At 42.5% G+C, this 24,485-nt stretch overlaps 1 long non-coding RNA gene across 1 annotated transcript; it reads left to right on the plus strand.

Annotated features, from left to right (window-relative positions):
- Positions 1-7,167: 7,167 nt before the first annotated feature.
- On the plus strand, positions 7,168-23,995 carry LOC105370919 (uncharacterized). The gene is made up of 4 exons (XR_001751629.2): positions 7,168-7,219; positions 7,302-7,462; positions 22,894-22,967; positions 23,537-23,995. It is a non-coding gene; the product is annotated as an uncharacterized LOC105370919 (long non-coding RNA).
- Positions 23,996-24,485: the final 490 nt, after the last annotated feature.

The raw sequence follows: 24,485 nt of genomic DNA on the forward strand, positions 1-24,485 counted from the left end.
ACTTTATTGAACCCATGTAACGGGCCAGGGACTATGCTAGATGCTGGGAATAAAGCAGGGAACATTCAGAAGCCATCCCTGCTTCATGGTATGAGGCTCAGGAAAGGCACACACACTCTCCTCTCCACATTTGTGTGTAGGAGAGGAGAGGTGCGCTTGGACCTCATAACAAAAGGCTCTAACTTAGCCCTGGGGGTTGGTGGGGGAGCAGTGATGTAGGTGACAAGGGCTTTCAAAGAAGAAGCACTTTTTGGGAGTGAGAACCACCTTTGTGCTCTCCAATGTGCCCCTGCCCGTGTAAGACACCCTGCCTTTGGGAGGCCATACCCACAGGGAAAAAGACCTGATGCCCCTGCCCCCTTACCTCTCAGGAGCAGAGCTGCAATGAGCCTCCATCTCAGGATGAGGCAACAGGCCAACACCAACCCAGGACCCCAGTCTCACCTCTTCTAACTCCAGCCCACAGGCAGTGACCTTTGACTCATTCATGCCCCTGGGATTTGAGGATTCCAATTGTGTTATGCCACCTCCTTGCACTGATCCACCCACTCTGTGGCTGGATTCAAAGCTGAGTCTAACTTGCTTTCACAGATCCCAAGATGAACTTTCCATCACCTATTCACTAAGGTTTTGAAAGCCACCAATATTGAGTCTACGGCCACGCCACCCTGAACACACCCGATCTCATCCAAAAGCCACCAATCTTGAGATCTTAGTATGTAATGACACTGTGTTAAACCCCTTATATACATTATTCATTCATTAATTCGACTGATTTTTATAAAGCACCGACTATGTGCTAGGCAGGGTTCTAGATGCTGAGAATACAGTAGTGAACAAAGCACACAATATTTTTACCCTAATTTAGTGAGGAGACCCATGATACAAAAAGGAGACAATGAACATATAACATAGTATCAGATAGTGATAAGTGACATTTGTCTCATTTAATACATACTCCATCTTTAAAAAGTAGGTGGTTTTATACCCATTTTATAGAAATAGAAACTGAGACTTGAGGCTCTTCACTATCACATAGTCAAGCCATTGTCAAAGAATAAAATGTTGCTTTCATTTACTCTTCTCTCCTCTCTCTTTTCTTCCTACCATCCCTGCTTTAGAAAAGGTAGGAGGGGAATGCTAAGAGTACAGAATCTGAGGGCTGGAGGGGCAATGCCCTGAAGCCACCCTGGCCATTCTCCTGTCCCGGGGTGGGGCTGCCCTCACACTTAGACAGAAACCATCTCTTCTCATTCTTAATGAGAATGTCATGCAGAACCCAATCAATAAGAGGTTCTCTGACACTAGAACGTCTTTTGTTTTTTCTCCCCACCTCTTGTGCTGACAAATGCATTAATGTAAAAACAGAAAAGAAAACCAAGCAATTTGTCACAGTGATATCTTCCCTCCTGGCCTTCATAATGAATTGCAGTGGTTAATCAATCACTCCCTTAACTCTTCTGTGGAGGCTTCCTTTTTAATGGGCCCCCAGACTGGATCCTTGAATTTGCTGTTTCCACAGACTGTGCACACGCATTATGTGTGGACTCAAGTGCTCCATAAGGGAAGAAAAATTACATTTCTAAGTGTATGTTTTGGGCACTATGCTGATTCCTTTGGATGCATTATCTCATCTTCTCCCAATCATCCTTCATGGGTGATCTTACAGGGCTGAAGAAAGATGACGTTTGTAGGCTGAGGTGACACAGCTTGTCAGAAGCAGAGTTGCAATGTGAACCTAAGTTTATATTTCCAAAGCTTCAACATGAATCATCTGCATCCTAGTTAATATGATAACCCTGGTTCCTATCAATTCAATTCATGTCCTTACCAGATGTTTACAAGCTTGTTCTCAAGGGCATAAAAATGCTTTGATGTTCTCTAAATCCCCTAACCTTAATTCCTATCATGTGGCTTTGTCCTTAGGATGGGAGCATAACAACTCATCTTATCTTGCAAGTCATTTAAAACACAGACTTCATAAGCTCACAGAGGTCCTCAAGCTCACCTGAGTCCTCATGCTGCAAAGCCTCACACATTCTCCTGAACAGGAGGTGGCAAGAAAATGTTAAAGACTTTTAAAAATTCAACCATATCACATAAATTAATTTATCAAGATGCTGCTGCTATTGGCTTACGATATTGATCAGTGCTATAGAAGCTAGCAAGTGCTTTAAAAAAATTGATGAAAATTTATGTTCAGCACTTTCATTACTCGTCCTCAATAACACAGTTGCCAAAGTGATTTGAAGAAGACTCAGGAATTGAGTATATTCATGTTCAATTAGGTTAAATATTTCCCTTGTATTCACTACCCATTTGCACAGCAATCCAATCCAAAGGAACCAAAATGAACTGTCGCACATACCCAATTAATGTTGTTTTAATTCCGAGACAAATAGGATCACAGTGAATTTCAACAAACTGTCCAAATTCTTTTATGTGAGTGTGCTAGGATGACTGGTGTGTGGAATTAGTTGGCTGTGGGCTGGAGCTTAGCAATTGTTTATCAGGCAAAAGTTCTGGTTATCATAGTGCTTGCTGTTACAGGATGGGACCTGGGTGTCACATTTTCTGTACTTATGAAGAACCAGAGCAACACCAATAGGTGCCGGCTATAGACAGAACATGGGCTAACTTGGAACCTGTGTTTTTAAAATGTCCATCTCTACTACGTCTAAAAATCGGCAAAAACAACATCATCTTATTTTTGCATGACCCATCCATGCCTAGGAGCTCATGCTTGTTTCCACAAAATTGATTGTCAGGATATTGTAGAAGGAATTAAAATCATAGAGAAAGAACTGGACTCCTCGATCTTTGAGGTTCCTTGCAGCTCTAAAACTCTGGGATGGCCTAAGATCTCAGTGGTTTGCCTGGATAGGAAGACATGACCAAGTTACTGACATAAGTACAGGATTACCTATAATGATGTATCCATTCAGCAATTACATACTATTTACTGGGTTAGGCACTGAAGAAACAGAGATGAAATAACTTAGCTGATCCATGCCTCCTGGAGCTCTCTATCCAGTGAAAGAGATTATTGTGATACCTCCAGGAGAGTGTCTTATCATTGCCTACTTTCCTTTCTGTATTGCCTGCTAGAATATAAGCCGCCTGAGAGAAAAGATTATATTCTAATCCCCAATCTATCCCCAAAACTCAGCATAGAGCTTGGCACCTAAAATACGTTTAAACAATGTCAACTGGATGAATACATTATTGGATGAATGACATTGTGGAGATATGATTAGAATACTGCAGGAATTTAGAGGAAAAGATTGCAAATGGAAAGGAGTTCATGGAAGACACACTTCAAGTCAGTAAATGCTATGTGAGAGTTACTACATGCCAGGCACTGAGGTATTTAGACACAACAGCAAGCATGCCATAGCTTCTCCTCTTGAGGGGCTTTTGGTTCACTTGAGTGATAGACACAAGTGACCAGACAATTGCAATGCAGCATAGCATATGGGGCATGTGAGTCAGAGCATTATGCCTAGGAAACTCACAGGAGGCTTACTTAGCCCAGTGATATGGTTTGGCTCTGTGTTCCCACCCAAATCTCATGTCGAATTATAATTCCCAGTGTTGGAGGAGGGGACTGGTGGGAGGTGATTGAATCATGGGGACGGACTTCACCCTTGGTGTTCTTATGATAGAGTTTTCATGAGATCCGGTTGTTAGAAAGTGTGTAGCACCTGCCCTTTCTCTCTCTCCTTCTCTGGCCATGTGCATATATGTGCCTGCTTCCCTTTCCATCATGATTGTAAGTTTCCTGAGGCCTCCCCAGAAACAGACGCCTCTACAGCCTGCAGGACCGTGAGCTGATTAAACCTCTTTTCTTTATAAATTATCCAGTTTTAGGTATTTCTTTATAGCAGGGTGAGAATGGAATAATACACCCAGTATTGAGGGATTCAGAGTGATGTCCTTTCCTGAGGGACAGAACATAAGGGCCTTGAAAATCCAAGGCACATGCTTGGTGGCAGCATGGTGTCTGTATGGAAAAGTAGTAGAGAATCAGGCTGTGAAGACAGGCTTGGGGTTATTAGAAGAAGGGCTTGTATGTCAGGCCAATGAGTTGGAGTGTCATCACTAGGTGATGGGGAGCACTTGATGATTGTTGAGTGAGAGTGTCATCACATGAGCACTGTAGTGGGAGAGAATGACTGGGATGCTATTGCCTGGAGAAAATATATTAAGTGCCTGGTCCTGTGTGATTTCAAATTATAACACCACCTACATTTATGGAGCACTTCCACAAAATCACAGAACCATAGACTCATGTGCTTGGAAGAAACCTCTGGTCCGGTATGCTGTTTAAGGCCTGCAGCTGTTGCTTTATTCTCCTTGACAGACTCCTATGCAAGGGTTTGTTTCCCTTCTGTTTGTGCATTACCAATAAGAGAGAATGCATTCCCCCAGAAGCTCATTTCATTCTCAACCACCCTGAATGCTAGAAAGTTCTTTCTTATATTGAATCAGAATCTGTGTTCCATAATATGGACATAATTTTCTCCAGAACAAGTCCCCTAGCTGACAAATGAGACAGATAACTATCCCTCGGGGAAATGGATGTGGGGTCTTGCGATGGTCAATTTTATGTGTCAGCTTGACAGGGTCATGGGGTGCCCTGACATTTGGTCACACATTATTCTGGGTGTGTCTGTGAGGGTGTTTCTGGATGAGATTAACATTGGAATCTGCAGACTGAGCAAAGCAGATGCCTCCCTCTAACGTGGGTGGCCCTCATCCAATCAGTTGAGGGCCTGAATGGAACAAAAAGGCTGATCCTCCCATGAGGAGGAGGGAATCCTCCTGCCCAGCTGCCTCGAACTCAGACATTGGCCTTCTCCTGCCTTCAGACTCAGACTGAAACACATTCTCTTCTCGGGTTTGGAGCCTGCCACCTTTTTTTTTTTTTTTTTTTTTTTGAGACAGGGTCTCCCTCAGTCATCCAAGCTGAAGCGCAGTGGCATAATCACAGCTCACTGCAACCTTGACCTCCTGGGCTCGAGTGATCCTCCCATCTCAGCATCCTGAGTAGCTGAGACCACACTCAGCTAATTTTTTTGTATTTTTGTTGAGATGGGATTTTGCCATGTTGTCCCAGCTGGTCTCAAATTCCTAGGGTCAAGTGATCCTCCTGCCTCAGCCTCCCAAAGTGCTGGGATTACAGGCATGAACCACCACACCCGGCCGCCTGCCACCTTTTGAACCAGAACTTGCACCACCAGATGTCCTGGTTCTCAGGCCCTGGACTCAGACTGGAACTACACCATCAAAGCTCTTGAGTCTCCATCTTACTTACTACAGATCTTGGGACTTCTCAGCCTCCATAACTACATCAATGAATTCTTTATAATATATATACAGCTCTCCTATTCATTCTGTTTCTCTGGAGAACGCTGGCCAATACAGTTCTTTTCCCTCCCTCCTGGCCACTTTCCTTCAACCCTCCCAGATTTGGCAGTGACCCTTGTAGAGTGTGGTATCAAAACTGGAAGATGTTTCTCCAAGTTCTCTGATCCTTCCAGGGATGGTAGATGACCTCTTTTCTTGTTTTGAACTATGTCTTATTAAATGCAGCCACAGTTAAGACCTCAAACAACACTTCAAGATTGGTCTTTAATCCTTGTTTTCCAATGTGGAAACTCAGAGAGGGGCAGGAATTTGCTCCAGGTGACACAACCAGGAAATGACATAAGTGGAAATCTAATTGTCATGATTTTAAGGCTGTGCTCTTCTACTGGGTTTTATACTGTAATTTGTGCTAACTGCATAATGAGCACTTTAAAATACTAGGTACTTTAAATAAGTCATCCTACTTGATTCCTAAAGGAATCTTGCAAGATAGGTTTTGGTTCTGTTCCTATTCCAGTCACATTCCTCCAACCTATCAAGGATTGGCAATGACCCTTATATTATCACCATTCTATAGAACACAGAATCAGGGGTGAACAGTGGGTAAATGTCAGACTGCATCAGTAAATATCAGAACACTGGGCTATCTGTTTGTAGACCACACACACACTACACTGCATGTTCCACCATATGAATGTCTTCAGAAGCCCAGTCACAATGTCCACTCGTTAAATGTGTGAACAGTGCTACCTCTCAGCTGCATTCTCCTCACCTACACCTGTTCAGCTACGTTTTCAAACCTGGCTGTAGGACTTCAGTTTTTTGTTTTTGTTTTTGTTTTTTTCTTAATCATGACATTGAACACATCAGACCTGGACCAGCTTTTACAGTTTTGGCATTAAGACACTTGCCATTCAGAATTAGGAGGACAGCAGCAAAACACTAGCACGTGAGAGCCGAGAAGTGTTAGCTTCATCCCTTTGTGTTTCCTCTGCCCCTTGGTGAGGGGAAGGAACGAGTTTCTTGACGACTGAGCAAAATTGTATCTATCACTGAGGACCAGAAAAACACAACTTTTATTTTTATTCTTGACGATGAAGGTAATGCCTTATGTGGCCCATTCTCTTTAGGGTCTCTCAACATCACTTCATCCTCATGCAGATCACCAATACTGGTGACCTCAACTCTCTCCTAGACCATATGCTCCTAAGCAGGCAACGTCCATGGGAGAAATGCACATTGTACTGGGCCGTATCATTCTGTTAGGACTTGTGCAGGCAGGTGTAACAGAAGATGGGAAGTTTCCTCTTCTCCATTCACTCCAGCATCTAATTTACATTTGCACAAATATAATATCACATGAATACAATGGTTGTGTTGTTGGGGGTGATCAAGGCTTGGAATCTGCCCACAACCATGCCCAATGGTTCTGTGATGTTGAGAATTCACTTCCATTCTGTGGACCTCATTTTCTCCATTAAAAACAACATCAACAACAAACTCTTCAAAGTGACTGAACTTGAGAATGAGTATGCTCTCTTTAAATTTTCATACTCCACAGTGCTATAATAGAATTTTTAGGCATATTCTAAGTCCATTAAGAATTATACAGGGCATCACATACATTCTTAAAGAGACTTGGTGGTTGTATGTGAGATTCAAATTTTCTAGTCATCAGGCTTGGGAAGAGAAATATCCTAATTTCACAATATCCCCCAAGAACAGAGCTGCCGACATATATAATTATGCAGACTCCACCAGTGATTCCCTGATGTTGTTTCTCACTAATTTTCTCACAGACGTGAAGACAGAAGAGAGGTTCTTGTGCATACGTTTGAACAGGGAAAAGGTAAATACCCAAGCTGCTTACATTTAGAGACACTCTTCTTTTGAACTCACCTAAATTTAATTTCCAAATCTCGACATTACAGATTGAAATCAAATGCCCGGAGGTTCCAAGGAAGAGTAAAAATAGAAGCCAGAGTGGCAGAGGGAACCATTATGCAGTGTGTGGCCCTCATTCACGATGCTTACAGTAGCTGATTTATTAGAAGACAGAAAAGAAAATTGATTTATAAATGGTCTTGGGAAGGTAAAGACTCCTGCCCACATTTTTAAATTAATGTTTAATTATATATGAAATCCTTAATTACACATGTAATCCTTAATTATGCAAGCAATATACGAATAAATTTCCCTTTACCAAAAAAAAAAAAACACTAGAGATAAAGCTGAAGTCACCTCTGAACAATCCCACCCTGAGTTCTTACTTGATGCATATCCTTTAATGTCATCTTCCTTGCTCTTGTATAATTTTAGATACAGATATATAGAGCCATAAAATCATACTGTGTTGTTTGATAGTATATTTATTGTTATTGACTGTTTTTTTTTTTTTGAGACTAAGTCTCACTCTGTTGCCCAAGCTGGAGTGCAGTGGCATGACCTCGGCTCACTGCAACATCCACCTCCCAGGTTCAAGCGATTCTCCTCCCTCAGCCTCTCAAGTAGCTGGGACTATAGGTGCCCACCACCACGCTTGGATAATTTTTCTATTTTTAGTAGAGACAGGGTTTCACTATGTTGGCCAGGCTGGTCTTGAACTCCTGACCTCCTGATCCACCTGCCTTGGCCTCCCGAAGTGCTGGGATTACAGGCATGAGCCACTGCACCTGGCCTGTTATTAACTTTTTAATTGCATATGTAATATCATTTTACAAGTTTTTTTTTAACTTAATGGAAGGACTTGAGTTTCTAGCCATATTCCTACATATGTTCATGTTGCTTCTAGTTTCTAACTGTAAACATGACTGCAAAGAACATTTCTGTACTTGCCTCTTTTTGCATGTGGGCCATAGTGAGTTGTTCTCTAAAAGAAGCTACATGATCTTATAGTCCCACCACTTTCCATTTCAGTGCTAACACTTTATATTTCCAAACTCTTTCAGTTTTGCCACTCTCTGGGTAACAGATGGCATCTCATTGTTTTGATTTGTATTTCTTTACTTACAAGAGAGTTGAGTATATATCATGTATATTTTTCTGTTATTTGTCAAACATATTATATAATCATTTTTCTATAAGGTTGCTTTTTCTCATTGATTTTTGAGAATAGTAACCTTTCCCCCAGTATTTGTTGAAAATGTTTTCTCACAGGTTGAAGGCATACCTCCTTTCCCCTTACAATTTTGGAATTTCCTAAGAATAGGGTTATTCTTTTATGTAACCACAACACTGATATTCAATTCAGGATATTTAACATTGATGTTATAATTTCACCTATCATCCATATTCCAATTATTTCTTTGTCCCAATAATATTCTTAATGTTTTATATCCCTAATAATAGCACTCTTCTTCTCCAGTGCAGGATCCAGGACAGAATTATATATTGCATTTACTTATCACTTATCTTTAGTCTCCTGTAATCTCAGTTCTATAACCTTCTGTTGTATTGCATGCCATTGACATTTTTGAAAAGCTGAAGTCAGTTATTTTATAATATATTCCTTTAGCTGGTTTTGTCTGATGTTTTCTCATAATTAGATACAGGTCTTTTACCCCCAGATGGTACTACAAAAGTGATCATTTGTTTTACTCAGGATGTCACATCTGGAGGTCCACAATGTCCATCTGCTCTTGTTGGTGATACTAATTCTGACCACTTGATAAAGGTGTAACTGAACAGCAGTTATGATTTCTCTTGATCCTCACAATTACCCCCTAAATTTAGCATTCATTGATGATTCTTGCCTAAGGATTGGTTACAAAATGATGATTTTCCACCATTTCTTCCACATTTATTAGTCAACTTTTACTGTAAGGAAGAGCCCTCCCTCTCCCCTACCTGACATTCATGTATTCTTTCATTCCGTTATTATGTATCTATCATCTGTCTATCTACTTATCTACTATTAGAATGAACTCATGGATTCCTTATTTTTTTATAACTTATTATGAGTTGTAATATATTACTGTCTCTATTAGTCTGCTGTAACAAATTATCACAGACTTGATGGCTTAAAACGAAACACATTTATTCTCTTACAGTTCTGGAGATTAGAAGTCCAAAACCAGTTACATTAAGCTGAAATCAAGATGCCCTCCTTCTGGAGGCTCTAGGGGAGAACCAGCTCCCTTCTCTCTTCCAGGTTCTAGGGCTGCATTCCTTGCATTTCTTCGCTACTGTCCACTTCCTGCATCTGCAAAGCCAGCAGCACAGGCTCTGGCTTCAGCGGTCACATCACCTTCTTCTAGGTCGACAAATCTCCCTCGGCCTCATTCTTGTAAGAACACTTGTGATTACATTTAGGGCCCACCAGCTAATCCAGGATAATCTCCACAGCTCACAATCCTTAATTTAATCACATCTTATGAATCCCTTAACATTCACAGGCTCAGAGATTAGGAACTGGATATCTTTGGAGGTCATTCTTCCACCAGGAAGGTGGTATCAGTAAGAGTTCAGAGTAACAGAATCACTAGGATATAAGTATATCATTCAGGCCTGGCACAGTGGCTCAAGCCTGTAATCCCAGCACATTGGGAGGCTACGGTGGGTGGATCATGATGTCAAGAGATTGAGACCATCCTGGCCAACATAGTGAAACCCCATCTCTACCAAAAATACAAAAATTAGCTGGGCGTGGTGGCACGCACCTGTAGTCCCAGCTACTCTGAAGGCTGAGGCAGGAGAATCGCTTGAATTAGGGAGGCAGAGGTTGCAGTGAATGGAGATCACACCACTACATTCCAGCCTGGCAACTGAGTGAGACTCCGTCTCAAAAAAAATAAATAAATAAATAAATAAATAAATAAAAGCATGTAATAGATTAGATAGATAGATAGATAGATAGATAGATAGATAGATAGATAGATAGATAGATTTGCTAAAGGGTATTGGCTTACATGACTGGGGAGTGTATTAATTAGCTTGGGCTGCCATCACAAAATACCACAGACTGAATGGTTTAAATAACAGACATTTATTTCTCACAGTTCTGGAGGCTGGAAATCCTTGATCAAGGTGCTGGCAAATTTGGGTTTTGGTGAGGGCCTTCATGTGGCTTGTAAATGGCTGCCTTATTGCTGTGTCCTCACGTGGCCTTTCCTCTGTGTGTGCATGGAGAGAGAGAGAGAGAGAGAAAGAGAGAAAGAGAGAGAGAGAGAAAATCAATCTCTGGTGTCTTTTCTTATAAGTACTGGAAATCTATCAGACTAGGGCTCCATACTTATAACCTTACTTACTTTCTTAAAGGCCCTATCTCCAAATATAGCCACATTGGGGGTTAGGGCTTCAATATGTGAAGTCCATAACAGGGAGCTAGTTAAGTAGTGTCTCTAAGGTTGTTTTTTCCACATCTGATGCCCAAGTGAGAAGCTCACAGGGTAAGCAGTCAGAAAGGGAAGGTATGAGGAGGCCGGAGTCCACGAACATTAGCTGGAACCCACCAGGACAAACTAGAATGGTCTCTTACCTCGAGGGTATGGGTTACTGCAGAAACTGGGGCCCATGGTCATGGAGATACTCACACCTAGCCCAGGAGCTGGAGAAGCTGAAAGAGGGTCCAGGGGAAGGCAGAGCAATTGCACACCTAGCTGCCACATCACACCTGTGCATGAATCTGCAGCTCATCAACAAGTGTGCAGATAACAAAGTGCTTGCTGCTTCCTTTGTGCCCTCCAAGTCTCTCAAGAATCTCCATTGTGACCGCCACAGCTAGTAATATGTAAGAAAGCCAACTCTAGGAAATGTAGTGTAGCCTCACCAAGTTGATAGCTTACAACGTCACCATAGAGGACCAAACTTCCAAGAGTCTTTACATCATCAGAAGAGGTCTTTCTGGACTTTCTCATCAAGAAGACCAACTCTCTGACAGCATTCATTTGATTGGTCTACTAAGGTTGGTTACTAACATCATAACCCTAAATTTCACTGTTTGGAAAACTTTCTAAGGTAATGGAATCACCTAGAATGGTAATATAAAAAGAACATAGACTTAGGCAAAATAGGAAGTCTTTGAGACTTTCCTCCAGGCTGCGTCTGACAACCACTCACAAGCCCTCTCTCCTAATCCCATTTTTCTTCATTCTGAACTACTTCCCTTCTCCTTACCATCAATCTTCTTTCTTCATTTTTTTATTCTGCCTAGGCTCCATGATCTGTCACTCTGACATCCCTCTTCCCGATACCCACACTTCCTTGTCTTTTTGTGTTTTTCCCTTTAGTAAGATGCACATAGATTGAAAGAACCAGATTGTTATTTGACTAGTAATGAAAATAGCAGTCTTCTGCCCACTTACCGCACAATTCCCCACTCCTCAGATAAGCAACCAGTTTTCATTCTGTTAGCTCATTCTTTCGGTACTTATCCCTGTGTCTTTATAGAATACACTTATTTGCTCTCAATTTTTTCATCTTAGGCTTGTCTATGGACATCCCACTACGGAAAATGAGAATTTAACTCTCTTTCATTTTCATTCTCTCTCCTAATCTCCCGCCCCATGCAAGTGTTCCTTCTGGCTCTCCACTCTCTAATTTAGTTTTATGGTAATTTAGCTTAGTTCAACATTTAGTGTTTACATAATTATGAGAATGTAAGTGCTATTCAGACTGAGTCTTTCCTGCAAAATATGCTTGAAATTCATCCTTAACTTTTCTCCCTAACTTTGTTTTTCTGTATTCCTCACTAAAGCAATTCTAAATGTTTCAAAATTTCAATACATTTAGATACTTCAGGTCTATCCATTGAAACTCCTTGGAAAAAAAAATCTCTGTGATAATCTGGACTCTGGGCTGATTGTCCTCCTCACCTGGGGCATAGCTATTGCCCTGGGATCACACCTCACCAGCATCCTAGGAATCCCTTCGTTTCTCTCGTATAGTACAAGCCCCTGAATACCAGGCCTTCCTACCTCTTGGCATCCTCCTCTCTCCTATTCTCACTTCATGGCTGCAATATCTTCCCTTCTTCTCTGAAGATCTTAATGCTAGATAATGTTAGTTTTTTTTTCTCTTGCAGATCTTGTCTCCTTCAGTTTCCTTGCATTCTTCCTCTGCTGTGTTTCTTTTAGTCCCTATATTTTATGTTGGCATGTTTCCTCATATATCTGGTATCTCATGGTTGCCTGTTCATATTTAAAAGTGGGGGCAATAAGCTGACCGATGCTCTAAGCACTTTGCTGGGATGAGTTTCACCTTATAACAGTCCAGCTGGTTTACTCCACTGGACAGCCCCATTGCCAGCACCTTTATGCCGTTCCTCCCAGCTGGTCTTCTAACTCCCAGCTAGAGGCTAAAGGCCAGGCTGCTAGCATTTGTGAGCCCAGGAATTGAAGTCTGAGAGTTTCTGCCTTACTTGATCTTGCTACTTCCAGTCTGGTCCTCTCACTCTCAGCTCTGCTAGTCTCACCACAGTCCAAATGCCTTCCTTTTACTCTCTTCAGAAAATGAACCTCCAGTCTTCTGCTGGAGCAATCAAAGGCTAAGTCAGTTAGCCCCTTTACATTGGCTTTTCAGCTCTCAGGATTTTGTCACTGATGTCTTTTGTGCATGCGGGTTTGGGCTTTTTAAAAAGTCCTTTTAAACTCCCCCCACCCCGACACACACACACAAATGAGCAAAAGTAAATGTGTGTGTTCAAGATGTCTTCTTTACCTGGCATTCCCTGGCTTTCTGTCACATGTGCCATCAAAACACCAACCCTGAATCTGTTCCCCGGATCCCTGCTGTCCTTTACTCCTTGAGAACATTGTATAATCACATGGAATTGTGCCCCTGCAAGTATGTAGTCATAAGCCTCAACTGAGACTCAAAATTGCCCAGGAATCCTTATTTGTCTTCCTTAAGAGCTCTGATTCCAATTCCATACCCACCCCTGAGTTTCTCTCAGACCCTCCTGTCTTCCTCCAACTTCACTTTCAGCAGGATGCATCACCCCTGACTTGAGAGGAAGGAGTCACCAGCCAGGTGTGCCATCAGCCTTCGTGGCACTACCACTTTCCAGGTCAACTGCCTCCATGCCCATCCTTGTCACAATGAAGAACTTTCTCTCCCCTGAGTGGGTCCAACCCTGCACATCTGCTCCAGGTCCTATCCTCTGGATCTGCCCCTCCTGAATACCACTGTCTTTCATAATCTTAGCCTCTGCCTCTCTACCGACTCCTTGCCATCAATTATGTAGCTGGGATCCCTTCAATGTCTGGCCCTTGCCCACTTATCCTGGGTCATCTCATACCTCTCCTTGCCCATCATGCTCCAACCACTTGACCCCTATCCAGTTCCCTAAACACACATCTCTTCTCTTCATTTGGGACCTTGGCATATGTGGATCATTTTCGCTGGACTATCCTCTTTTCCTCTACCCACCAGATCACACCTGTCCTTCGGGACCTAGCTAAAATGACCCCTAGCTAAAATTAAGAAGCTCTCCTCACCACCTGAAAGCTCAATATGGGCCACTCATGTGAGATCCCTCATTACCCCCCTTCCACTCTCATGAACCACTTCTCACGCTGCTGAAATGGACTGTTTTCTCATCTGTCTCTCCTGCTTGACTGTAAGCTCCCTGGAGGTAGGGACTGCATTCACCAACTCCCCAGCACCCATCGCTGTCCCTAGGAATATGGTAACTGTTGACTTCCTGTTGAACTCCCTTTCTCATTCTCTGGGAAGAATCAAACCTTGTGGGGAATGGCAAGTGAAGGAGAAAGCAATCCAAACAGCAGGCTACTATGTTTATCCACTAGAATGACTCCACCGTCCCTCCATTCAACTTTCTCTCCACACAGTGATGGCAACAACTAGAACAGGAAAGGCAACGTGGAGGGGAAGCTCTTGATTTATTCGGGTACCCCAAATTCCTCATCTGTATTATCCCCCCTGAGGTGAAATTAAATAGGCCACCTACTATCGCACCATTTATTACACTTAATTTCCATGTGTTCTTCCTATAAGCATGAGGAGAGAGCTCCATTGCCAGGTAATAACTAGGAGTAACATATGCCTATTTCAGCCTTTACCAAAGTCTAAACTTGACTTGATCAAACATCCAGTGTTGACTCCTACTCTTACGGTCCAGAGAGTGAAAGCTTCCTTCAGTTCTGTTGGTGTCCTCTCCAGGATCCCATACATTTCTACATTATTTCCTTACGCTAATACCTTAACCAATGTCAGTGCTATTGACTAACCTCGATTCTTTCCTTTTCTCCAGTACAACATTTTCTCATTCTGATCAATAGTGTTTACTCAAGAATAAACATTCAATAATTATTTACTGAGTGAATGGACCTCAGACCATTAACAACTCATCATTTCTAACCACCTTGGCTTTATCCATCTGGAAGGCAAGATCCGTTTCCTATTTCACATTACTGTATAGGTAAATAAGTTAGTCCAGACCAGTGGCAGGTTGTGAAATTATGAGAACAAATAAATCATCTGGGTAATAATACACACATTAAGTTATAGAATCACAGTACTTTATTTCAATCATCCCTAAGAATAACATCTACTCTCCCTGTGTCACCCTGGTCTAACAATTACCACTGCTTGTAAAAAAAAAAAAAACCAGAGTAGACATGCTGCTACTTAAGCTGCATTCTTATGCTGATATATGCTTGTATATGCTGGCTATCCCAGCTGAAAGTGAGGATATCTCCTCCTAAACATCTATTTTAAAATTAATTTTAGTCCAATTTTTCTGACTTTTATTTGTTTGGTTTTAAACTGGAAGTGTCTGTAGTTACTGCAGGGGACATATTGTCAATTGGTGCTCAGGGAAGGCTCTCTGAGCAGGTGTCTTTTGAGGATGAGAGAAGCCAGCCACCGCTGGGGACAGAACATTTGGGAAAGCAAGAACTAGTGCAAAGCCCCTCGTCGAGGCTGGCAAACAGAAAGAGGGATGGTTCAGAAAATAGAACAAAACAAACAGAAATGAATAGACTAGAATCTTCCTACTCAAAGTTAACCATTTATTATCATTCCTTTCTATATCATCCCAATCAAATTACAGCATGCCTTTCTTCTTAGCACTGTCCAGCATTTTCCTTATTGCCATAGGTTGATAAGGTGTTGGTTACTTAACGATTCCCCTGTTGTTGGATCCTCTCTTGGGTTGATTGTGGTCTCCCTGAAACTTTCTTCTCCGCCATCCTCCAAAACAGTCCCTAGGCCCCGCTCATTTCAAACATTTCATTGAGGAACAACAAGGCACAGTCAATGAGTACCTTGTGGAGAAAAACAAAGGTCCTAGCATTTTCACAAAGTCCTCTGAGTTGGCCTGAGTTATCTGGGTTCCTGAGCCTGGAGCCCACACACTCCCTCTTTTATTCTGATGCCAACACCTTCCTCCAGTGAATAGGCCTGGAAATAAATCAGGACTGAGACAAATGATCCAACTGGCATAATGTCTGAGCACCCTCTGGTCAGCCACCCTCTGCCCCAGTGTCCCAAGGCCCTTCTGGAAGAGCCTGACTTCTCAAAAAACAGAGAAGGAGCCCAGTCCTAGAGAAGGGAATGATTACTGGGTTTAAGGGGCTTTGCTTTCCAAGAATACTTTTCCTGCCTTCCTTCTTTGCTATATGCAAACCTTAGCCCTGGTGCGGTGGCTCATACACCTCATGCATGCTACCTCTCCAGCATAAAAAGGACCAGCTTGTCCAGGGGGATGCAGCCCCATGCTCTGGCTGTAACTGTGAAGGGAGGCTGGAGAGTGAGTGGGCAAAGCCCCCACCTCACACTGAGACAAATGATCCAATTGGCATAATGTCTGAGCACCCTCTGGTCAGCCACCCTCTGCCCCAGTGTCCCAAGGCCCTTCTGGAAGAGCCTGACTTCTCAAAAAACAGAGAAGGAGCCCAGTCCTAGAGAAGGGAATGATTACTGGGTTTAAGGGGCTTTGCTTTCCAAGAATACTTTTCCTGCCTTCCTTCTTTGCTATATGCAAACCTTAGCCCTGGTGCGGTGGCTCATACACCTCATGCATGCTACCTCTCCAGCATAAAAAGGACCAGCTTGTCCAGGGGGATGCAGCCCCATGCTCTGGCTGTAACTGTGAAGGGAGGCTGGAGAGTGAGTGGGCAAAGCCCCCACCTCACACTGCCTTGGAGGAAGAAAGAAGCTATTCCAACCTGGCAGCTGTTATTTACACTTCTGAATAATGTGTGAAGGCGGGAGTGTAGAAACAGTAGCAGATGACTCCAGAGAATAGGAAAACGAGGCCTTTGACAAAGAGATGTACTATTTATGTGAAACCCAATGCCTCTGCTAAGAATATATCCCCAGCACCAAATGCTTGTTCCTGATACAAGAACTACACAGATAATAAAGTTATTTCCCATCTATCTTTCTCCCAGGCTGCTGGCCCAGGTGTTTACATCTAACAGTTAGCATCTCCATTTTCCAGGGCCTGATTTCAGTGTAATGCTACAGAAGGGGCTCGCTGTTCTAGTCCTAGATCCTTGCTAACTGATTATGCTAGATTCACTTTATTGGTAAAATGAAAGGCTAAGGGGATGAAATGAAATTATTCACGTCCACTTTGACATTTTATGAATAGAAAAAATCATTTAGCTGGTCGATGGCCTGGATGGGGGTTTCCTTCTCCAGCACTTGTGCTTAGAATTGTTTATAGCAGGCACATAACATGTGTTGAATGAATAACTTTACACACCAAACCGTTCAATTTGAATTTTTATAATTATGGAAATTTATTCACACTGTCTGAGAGCAACTAACACCACACGATGTAGGGGAAGTCCGCGCGACTCAGAATAAATATCAACTCTTACTTGCAGGTGAAGAAAACTAACTAGAATAAGCAAAGGAAACAAACACAGAATTCTTTTATTTTTAAAAAAAATTCATGTGGTTGTAATGTAGGAAGGATGTGGGAACGGTGTGGGAAGGGTGTGTGGGAGCCGCCCTTGGAAATCACTGCACCTGGCAGTGGAGTGCTGCCAGGACCCATTCGCCCCACACTTTGTGCTCCACTCCAAGCCTGGCGTTCTCTCCTGCCCACTGGTGGGCTGGAGAGCAGGGAAAGGGGCAAGAGCCTACCAGCTGGAAGTTCCATATTCACATCTTAACAGAGCTACAGAAGAAAAGCAGCTTCTATTCTGCCAGGTAAAGTGTGAACAATCTCAGGGAAAGACTGCAATTGGCCCACCTTGAACCCCATGCCACCCATTGGCCCATCTGTTCAAGGAGTGAGGATATGATTGGCTCAGCTCTGTCACGTGCCTGAGTAGTGGGCGGGGCTCCGTTCTACGGAAAGTGGAGTAGCACCGTGTGTCTGTTGGGGGAATTTGTGATTCAACAGGAAGAAATTGAACAGAGTGTTGCTTGCATTTGGCCTCAATTATAAATATGCAGTGGGGACTTGTCACAAAGTGCACATTGCAGTAACTTCAATGTTTGAAGATGCTTGTTAAAGCAGATTCTGTTCAGAATGATCCTGCCTGCTTCAGGATAGGATAAGAAGAAACTAATGCCTTAGACAGATAGAATTTTTAGGGAAGCAAAAGAATTCCCCTTTAAGGGAATAGTTTTACGTGTTGTAAGAAGTTTACTAGGCCACACTATATTTTCTATGAAATAAAACAAATATATGTCTCCTGATTCCATTATGGGAAGAAAAAAAAAGGGGGTTGGGGTTGTCAGAGCTCTATGTAGATAAAGTGAAGTGTCAGGGGTAAAATAAGCAATTATTGAGATTTGGGGGTGAGGCTTCAAAAGAACTGCATGCTAATTAAAACAATTCTGTATCATTTTATGCCTATTAAATTAGTGGGAGGTTTTAAAATGATAAATGTTGGCAAGGTTTCAGTGAAGCAGGTACATTTGCGCATTGCTAGAGGGACTATGAATTGGAAAGCAATTTGACAGTATGCCTTAAAAGTGCTTGGCTTTTTTCTTTTCTTTTCTTTTTTCTTCTCCTTCTTCTCCTCCTTCTTTTTTTTTTCTTTATCCAGCAATCTCTTTTCAAGGAATTTCTCCTTAGGAGTTAAACTGAATGTAGAAATCAAGATACTCACTGAGCTCTAATTTGTCCTAAAGAATTGTGAGAATCAGGGTCACATTTTATCTTTGTGTCCCTAACACAGTCTCCATAAGGCATGGCATAGAGTCAGTGCTCTACAGTTTGTTAAAGTAATAAATGAAAATATATGTTCACAGGAGGATAATTTTAAAATTAATTATGTAAGATCATCTCAGTGGGAGACGATGGTGTTATTAAAATTAAAAACTAAGAAAGCAATATTGCAGTGTGGGAGAAGGCCTGTCTGAGGGATCCAGGGGAAGAAAAAACTAAATAAATCTAGAAGAGTATATAACATTGTTCCTATGTTCTGATTAAAAGTATGAAAAATTTGCTTATGTATCTGGACATGGAGTGGAAAGGAAACAGAAGAAAGCAAGCAATGATTAATTGAGGTGAATTCTTTATTGTACAGTTCCTCAATATTTATGCAAAAACACGTTTTAAATTAGTCTATTTGCTTGTTCAATATAAATATTGTGTTAGACTAACCCATAGGACTCATCTGGATGGCAACAGAGCCTTTGTGAGCTGCCAGAAGGAATTTCTCTGCTCATTCTGGGTCTTGGGAGACCTTAGAAACGAAATCTCCCAAAGTAATCACATCTACACTATTGTGAAATGTGTCTACATAAGAGTGTACATACAGACATGTAGAAGTGATCAATAAAATATTAAAGTTAAACATTTTCTTGTACACAGCTAGTATATATAGGACTGGCTACGTAATTTGCAGGGCCTCAGGCAAAATGAAAATTTGGGACCCCTGGCCAAAAAATTATTATGAATTTCAAGATGGCAGCAGACGATCATTAAACCAAATGTTGGGCCCTTTTGTGCGCAGGAAACTGTGTTGCTGCACAGGTCAATGCCCGTGAAGCTGGCCTGGTTATATAGACACAGGATGTGAGCAAATTATTAATAGTAAACTTCAGTTCTAGTATCAATTCTCTCTCTTGCTAGTGGTGCAACCTTGAAAAAATAAATCATTTGCCCTTTCTGTGCCACCATCTGGTCAGACTTTGATTCCCACTGCCAGTGTTTTCCTCCATCCGACTCAGTTTCCAATTCTATAAACCAGAAGCAATGCCTCCTGATTCACTGGGCTGCTGTGAGATATTGAAAGCTCTTGCTTTTTCCAACACAACTCCCACCTCAAGGGAATATTCCTTAAAATTACACATATTCAAATTCAGCCTGATGCACCCCCCAACAACTTCCCATTAAATTACTCATAAAAAAAAGATGAAAAGGAGAAAATTCACAACAGCAGGGACATTATGGATAATAACCAACCATATGCCAGAATCCAGGGGAGTGATCATGGCTGCACCATCAACAGGGCTATAGTAAGCAAGGCAGTCGTGGCTGCAGCTGACTCCTTCCAGTGAGGCCTGGGGCGATGCCCACCTGGAGCTGCAGCTATTTTAGGCATTTGATTTCTTTAGAAACAGGCTTAATTTCAGCCATGGTTTCCATCTCCTGAAGAGCTGTGAGTGCCCCACCTTCTACTACGTTTGTGGCCACTCCTCCTCCATCCCACACACCAGGGAATTACTGGGACTGATTCTTTGGAAATTCTGTAGCCCAGTTTATCTTTCCAGCCTCCTCACTATGTCTCTCATCTTTAATCACTTCCTTAATGTATTTCCCCCACTGGTCTGTCCCCCCATAGTCTCATCCTCTTATTGCTCTGGGCTGCCTCTCCCTCATCTGGTTTCCCACTGCTTTCCTTGTGCCCTTTAGAATTCTATGGCCTTTTTAAATGATTCGAAGGTGAGCCCCCTTCTCCTATCTGAGAAACCTGACTCTTTCCAAGGGGAATCTTCTCAAGTGGATGGTACCTCCCCCACTTCCTTGTTCCCCACCCTACAGGGCAGAAAGGGAAGGTCAGGCCGTACTAATCAGAATCCACTCCTCCTGTAATAAGGTCCTGGAGTGAGGTAACTTAAGAGACAGCCCACCAGCCAGCAAAATCTTCAGACATTTTATTGCCACACAGCATCCTTCAAGCCATTGCAGCAGGTGACATCCCACGCCAGACCTCACCTTCTGGTTCCCTCAAATCTATCCTATTTCTTGCCCATGTAATGCAATGATCATCCACATCCAGATTGCAGAGTTAGAAAATCTTTATTATGAGAGTTTGTAATCTCTGTTTCTAGTCCCCTGAGGTCTTCATATTCCCTTAGTGAGCTCATTATGATCAAGATTCACTCATCAGTTCACTGAAGAATCTGGCCTATTTCTAATGGTCTGGTTGCCCAGGTCAAGCCTTCAAATTCCAAGATTTCTATTTAGATAAGTAAATACAGTTCTTGCTTATTCCCTCCACCTGTTGTTCTCTTGGGGACAAGTTCATTTGACAGAACTATCTAACTCAGGTAGAATGTTTCAAGGCTATCAATGCAGTGAGGCTGCATGGCTAGCCAAAGCATCTGGTCTTACAAGCACCCGTATATTGAATGAGAGTGGGAGCAAAGTTTGAGAACAACCTGAGTGCAACCACAAAATTAATATGACCCAGAACTGACATTATTTACATTAACATGACTTTATCATTTCAGAAATTTCTTACCCAAGAAGGTAAAGTTGCAAACACTTTTATTGTGTCTAAGAAATTGCTAACAAAATTATTCATTTAAACAATAGATCACTCCTCAACTACACCTATTCTCAGGATGACAGGTAAATAAGACAATATGTCACGACAATATGTAGATTCAAGTAATGGACAAATCTGCTATCTTTCCATGCAGCTTTTTATTCATTAGGACTTTCTTGACCTCACAATCTCCCTCTACAATGCCATTCATTCATTCAACAAATATTTATTGAATGCTTTCTCTGGGTTGGATGTTACCTTAGACCCTCTTCTTGTCAACTACCAGTCTCCTATTGAAATGTCCACCTTTATTGAAAAAAAGGGCAAAATTTGGCATCCTGATGGTTTTTTTTTTGGGGGGGGGGTCTCAGTTCTTATCATCCTTACTGTCTTCAACTCCAGTGACTTTCACCTTCACTTTACCTACCCACTCCAATGGAAATGCCCTTGATTCTGCCATCCCTGGGGGCACTCCATCTCTGAGTATTCCTGTGTCGAGGTATTTTCATGTATGAGTTCTTCAGAGAAAGCACTGAGTGGGTTCTTTCTCTCTTCAGGCCTCATGGTGGCCCTTCTCCCATCTGAGAGCTGGACTGAAAGAACTTTGATTGCTGAGAACACACTTGCCATTGGGAGCAAAGACTCGGACTCTAAATCACTGCCATAGGTTGGCTTCTTTAGAAACATACACTGAGACAAAGATTTGTGCACAAGTAGTTTATTAAGAAAGTGCTCCCAGGCAGGGTAACTAACAATTCCGGTATACCTGGGACAGAGATACAGGAAGGTAGTTACAGTGATTTAGAACTTTCAGTTTTAAAACTGGGACCATCATACTCAAACTGGGATGAGTTGGTTGCCCTACTCCCAGAAGAAACTGATAAGGGGATAGAGAAAGCAGAACAGGGAATGTGCTTCCTAGCCAAGCAGAATTGCAATTGCATGTATCAAAAGGGTAGCCTCAACCTGATCCCAAAGGTAAATTCTGGAGAGTAAATTGTGGCTCAGAGTTTGCTCCTAACTAAAGTAAGAGAGCTGAGCTTCCAAACTCCCATACCCATTACACATCAGCTAGAGTCTTAGGGTTGAGGATGCTCAGAAGCAGGGAGCAGTTCCACAGCCTGAGAACAATCCTCTGAACAATTGTTGCAGGGTATTTGCAAAGGGGTAGATTGTGCACTGAGGTTGTCCACTAGAATACTAACTTTAAAGGGTATGGAATTGAAAAATTCACACAAATGAGAGGACCGCACTTTTTTCCTCCCTTTCTCACTCCCCATCCAATCAAGTTGGGATGGGAGAAAGGAAGGTTGAAGATCGGCATAGGGAGCGCCAGGGGAAACATGCTACTTTTCCAGGTGCTTCCTAGAGGAAGTGTGGGGGGCACCCGGGAGAATTTCCCTCAAAGTCTGTGGGTCTTTAGGAAGACAGCATACTTGTATCCCTTCTCTCATTTCTTCTGAAGACAGAAGATTGCAGGAGTGTCCCACATGGTCGGGGCATTGAGAAACAAGAGTACAGTGTGCCTAAGTAGAAAGGGTGACCCAGCACCACCCCCTCTCATTTCTCCATGATGTTGAAGACATTGTAAAATGATGCCAAAGTTCCCCAGGGCCCTGAGTGAAGAGCCGTGGAGGTAGAAAATGAAAAAGAATGCATGTGCTGCCCTGGAGCCTCTTGGCTAAGTAACCGGAGCTCCCCAGGAAAGGGCTGCAGTGCTACTTTGAGAGGTCGTGATCTCCTTTGTGGGCCAAATTCTCACTGATGTTCATAAAGACAACTGTACCTCATCACCCTGACAGTACATGCTTGCTTGCTTTGGAACTTGCTGAAAATGAAGATGACTTAAGTCTTTTGCATGCATTCATTTTCTCTCCAGGGGAAACGGATGGAATAAATGAGCTGAGACTAGGATATGAGCTACACTAAGGGCTCCATGTGCCTTCTCAAAAGGTAAATTATAGATATTGCAAGAAGAGATGAGTATATAAAATGTTTGTCAAAATAATATGAGAAGTCTCTCTTTGTCTTCAAATTATGCTTTCCTGCTGTTAATGTTTTTGTTAATGATAGAGATTAATCTATCCTTCATGTTTTGAGTGACATAATAAAGCTGGGATTGTACCTAATCCTTAAACCTGCCTCTAGTGACATAAATGAATTGAGATTGAATACCAGCAAGAGCTACTGTTTCTGCCCCAGGGGAACAGTACAAGAGGCCAGAACACAGCCCTGTGCTGCAGCTTTAAGCAGTCCTTCAGTTGTGTCACAATGCAGTATCGGGCTGCAAACTGGGGATCTACACAATTGTTTCTGTCCCTCTGTACATGAGACTGACGCTAAGTCCTGGGGTCCAGGACTGCTCAGATGCATGGAAAGATCCCACCTTTAATAGAGGGCTGAAAATGGGGCCAGTGGCTGCTGAATGCTGCTCTGCCATTGTCTTGAGTGGGGCGTAAAGGGATAGAAACAGCACTTGAAAACTCTGTCTTTGGTGTCTTAAAATTGCCCCCTACCTTTAGAATAAAAGAATCAAGACACAGTCTCACTATTTGGGAGGTGTTGAAGGAGATGCATACAGCTGGCAAGGCCAAGGGAAGATGCTGCGCTATCTCCTACCAGTCCACTCCAACCAGGAGCCAGGCTGGAGCTGAAAACCGCAAAGGGCAAGGTCATCATAGCTGCAAAGGTCACAGATGTCAGCCCAAACTGATACAGAAGGCAGTCATCACAACTTCTACCACCGCTCTGACCAAACAAGCCTCCCAGGTGCTGGGATCTACCAGAGGAAAGGAGAAGAGAGCCTGAGATGGAATTTTGAACTGGACTCCAGTGAGTTAATTATCCTGAACCCACTGATCAATCTCAAGAGTGGGCTGAATATTCTGAGAATGGCTGCCTGAAGATGTCTGCCAGAGGGTGGCTAGAGGGTCAGAGACAGAAATTCAGGGCTATTTTAGAAATAAACACAAGTCTACTTATTTTTGTCCATGTCTAGGCCTATTGAAATATTTTACCCCTTACATAAGATTCCCTTACTCCCACTAAACCTCACCTTTAGTCTAACCAGGACCTCTGGCATTTGACGCTTGACTGTCTCAACTTTCAGCCTCTCTTCTCATTTCCCACCCTGACCTCTAGACACTATGGTGTGCCATGAGATCTGTTTCCCTGACAATGCATTCAATTCTCATCCTCTTTCCTCCGTCATACCTGCTGAGAAAAACACAAACTTGTATCCACCCAACTTCCTGCCTCCTCCAATCCGATACCTTGGCTTCTGAGCAATGCTAGAGAAAATTGCATAACCATGCAGATTAGTAACATTTCAGATGTGTGGCCTCCAAACTCAACAAAGCCTTTCAGCATTGCCAAGAGATACTTTCTAATTTCCAAAGTCAGCTTTCATTTCCATTTTTTCTCAATAAACCCTCCTGACACCTCCTAGCTACCCCTCCATGCTAATTTTCC

This window comes from Homo sapiens, chromosome 15, assembly GCF_000001405.40.
Source record: "Homo sapiens chromosome 15, GRCh38.p14 Primary Assembly".
Lineage (NCBI taxonomy): Eukaryota > Metazoa > Chordata > Mammalia > Primates > Hominidae > Homo > Homo sapiens.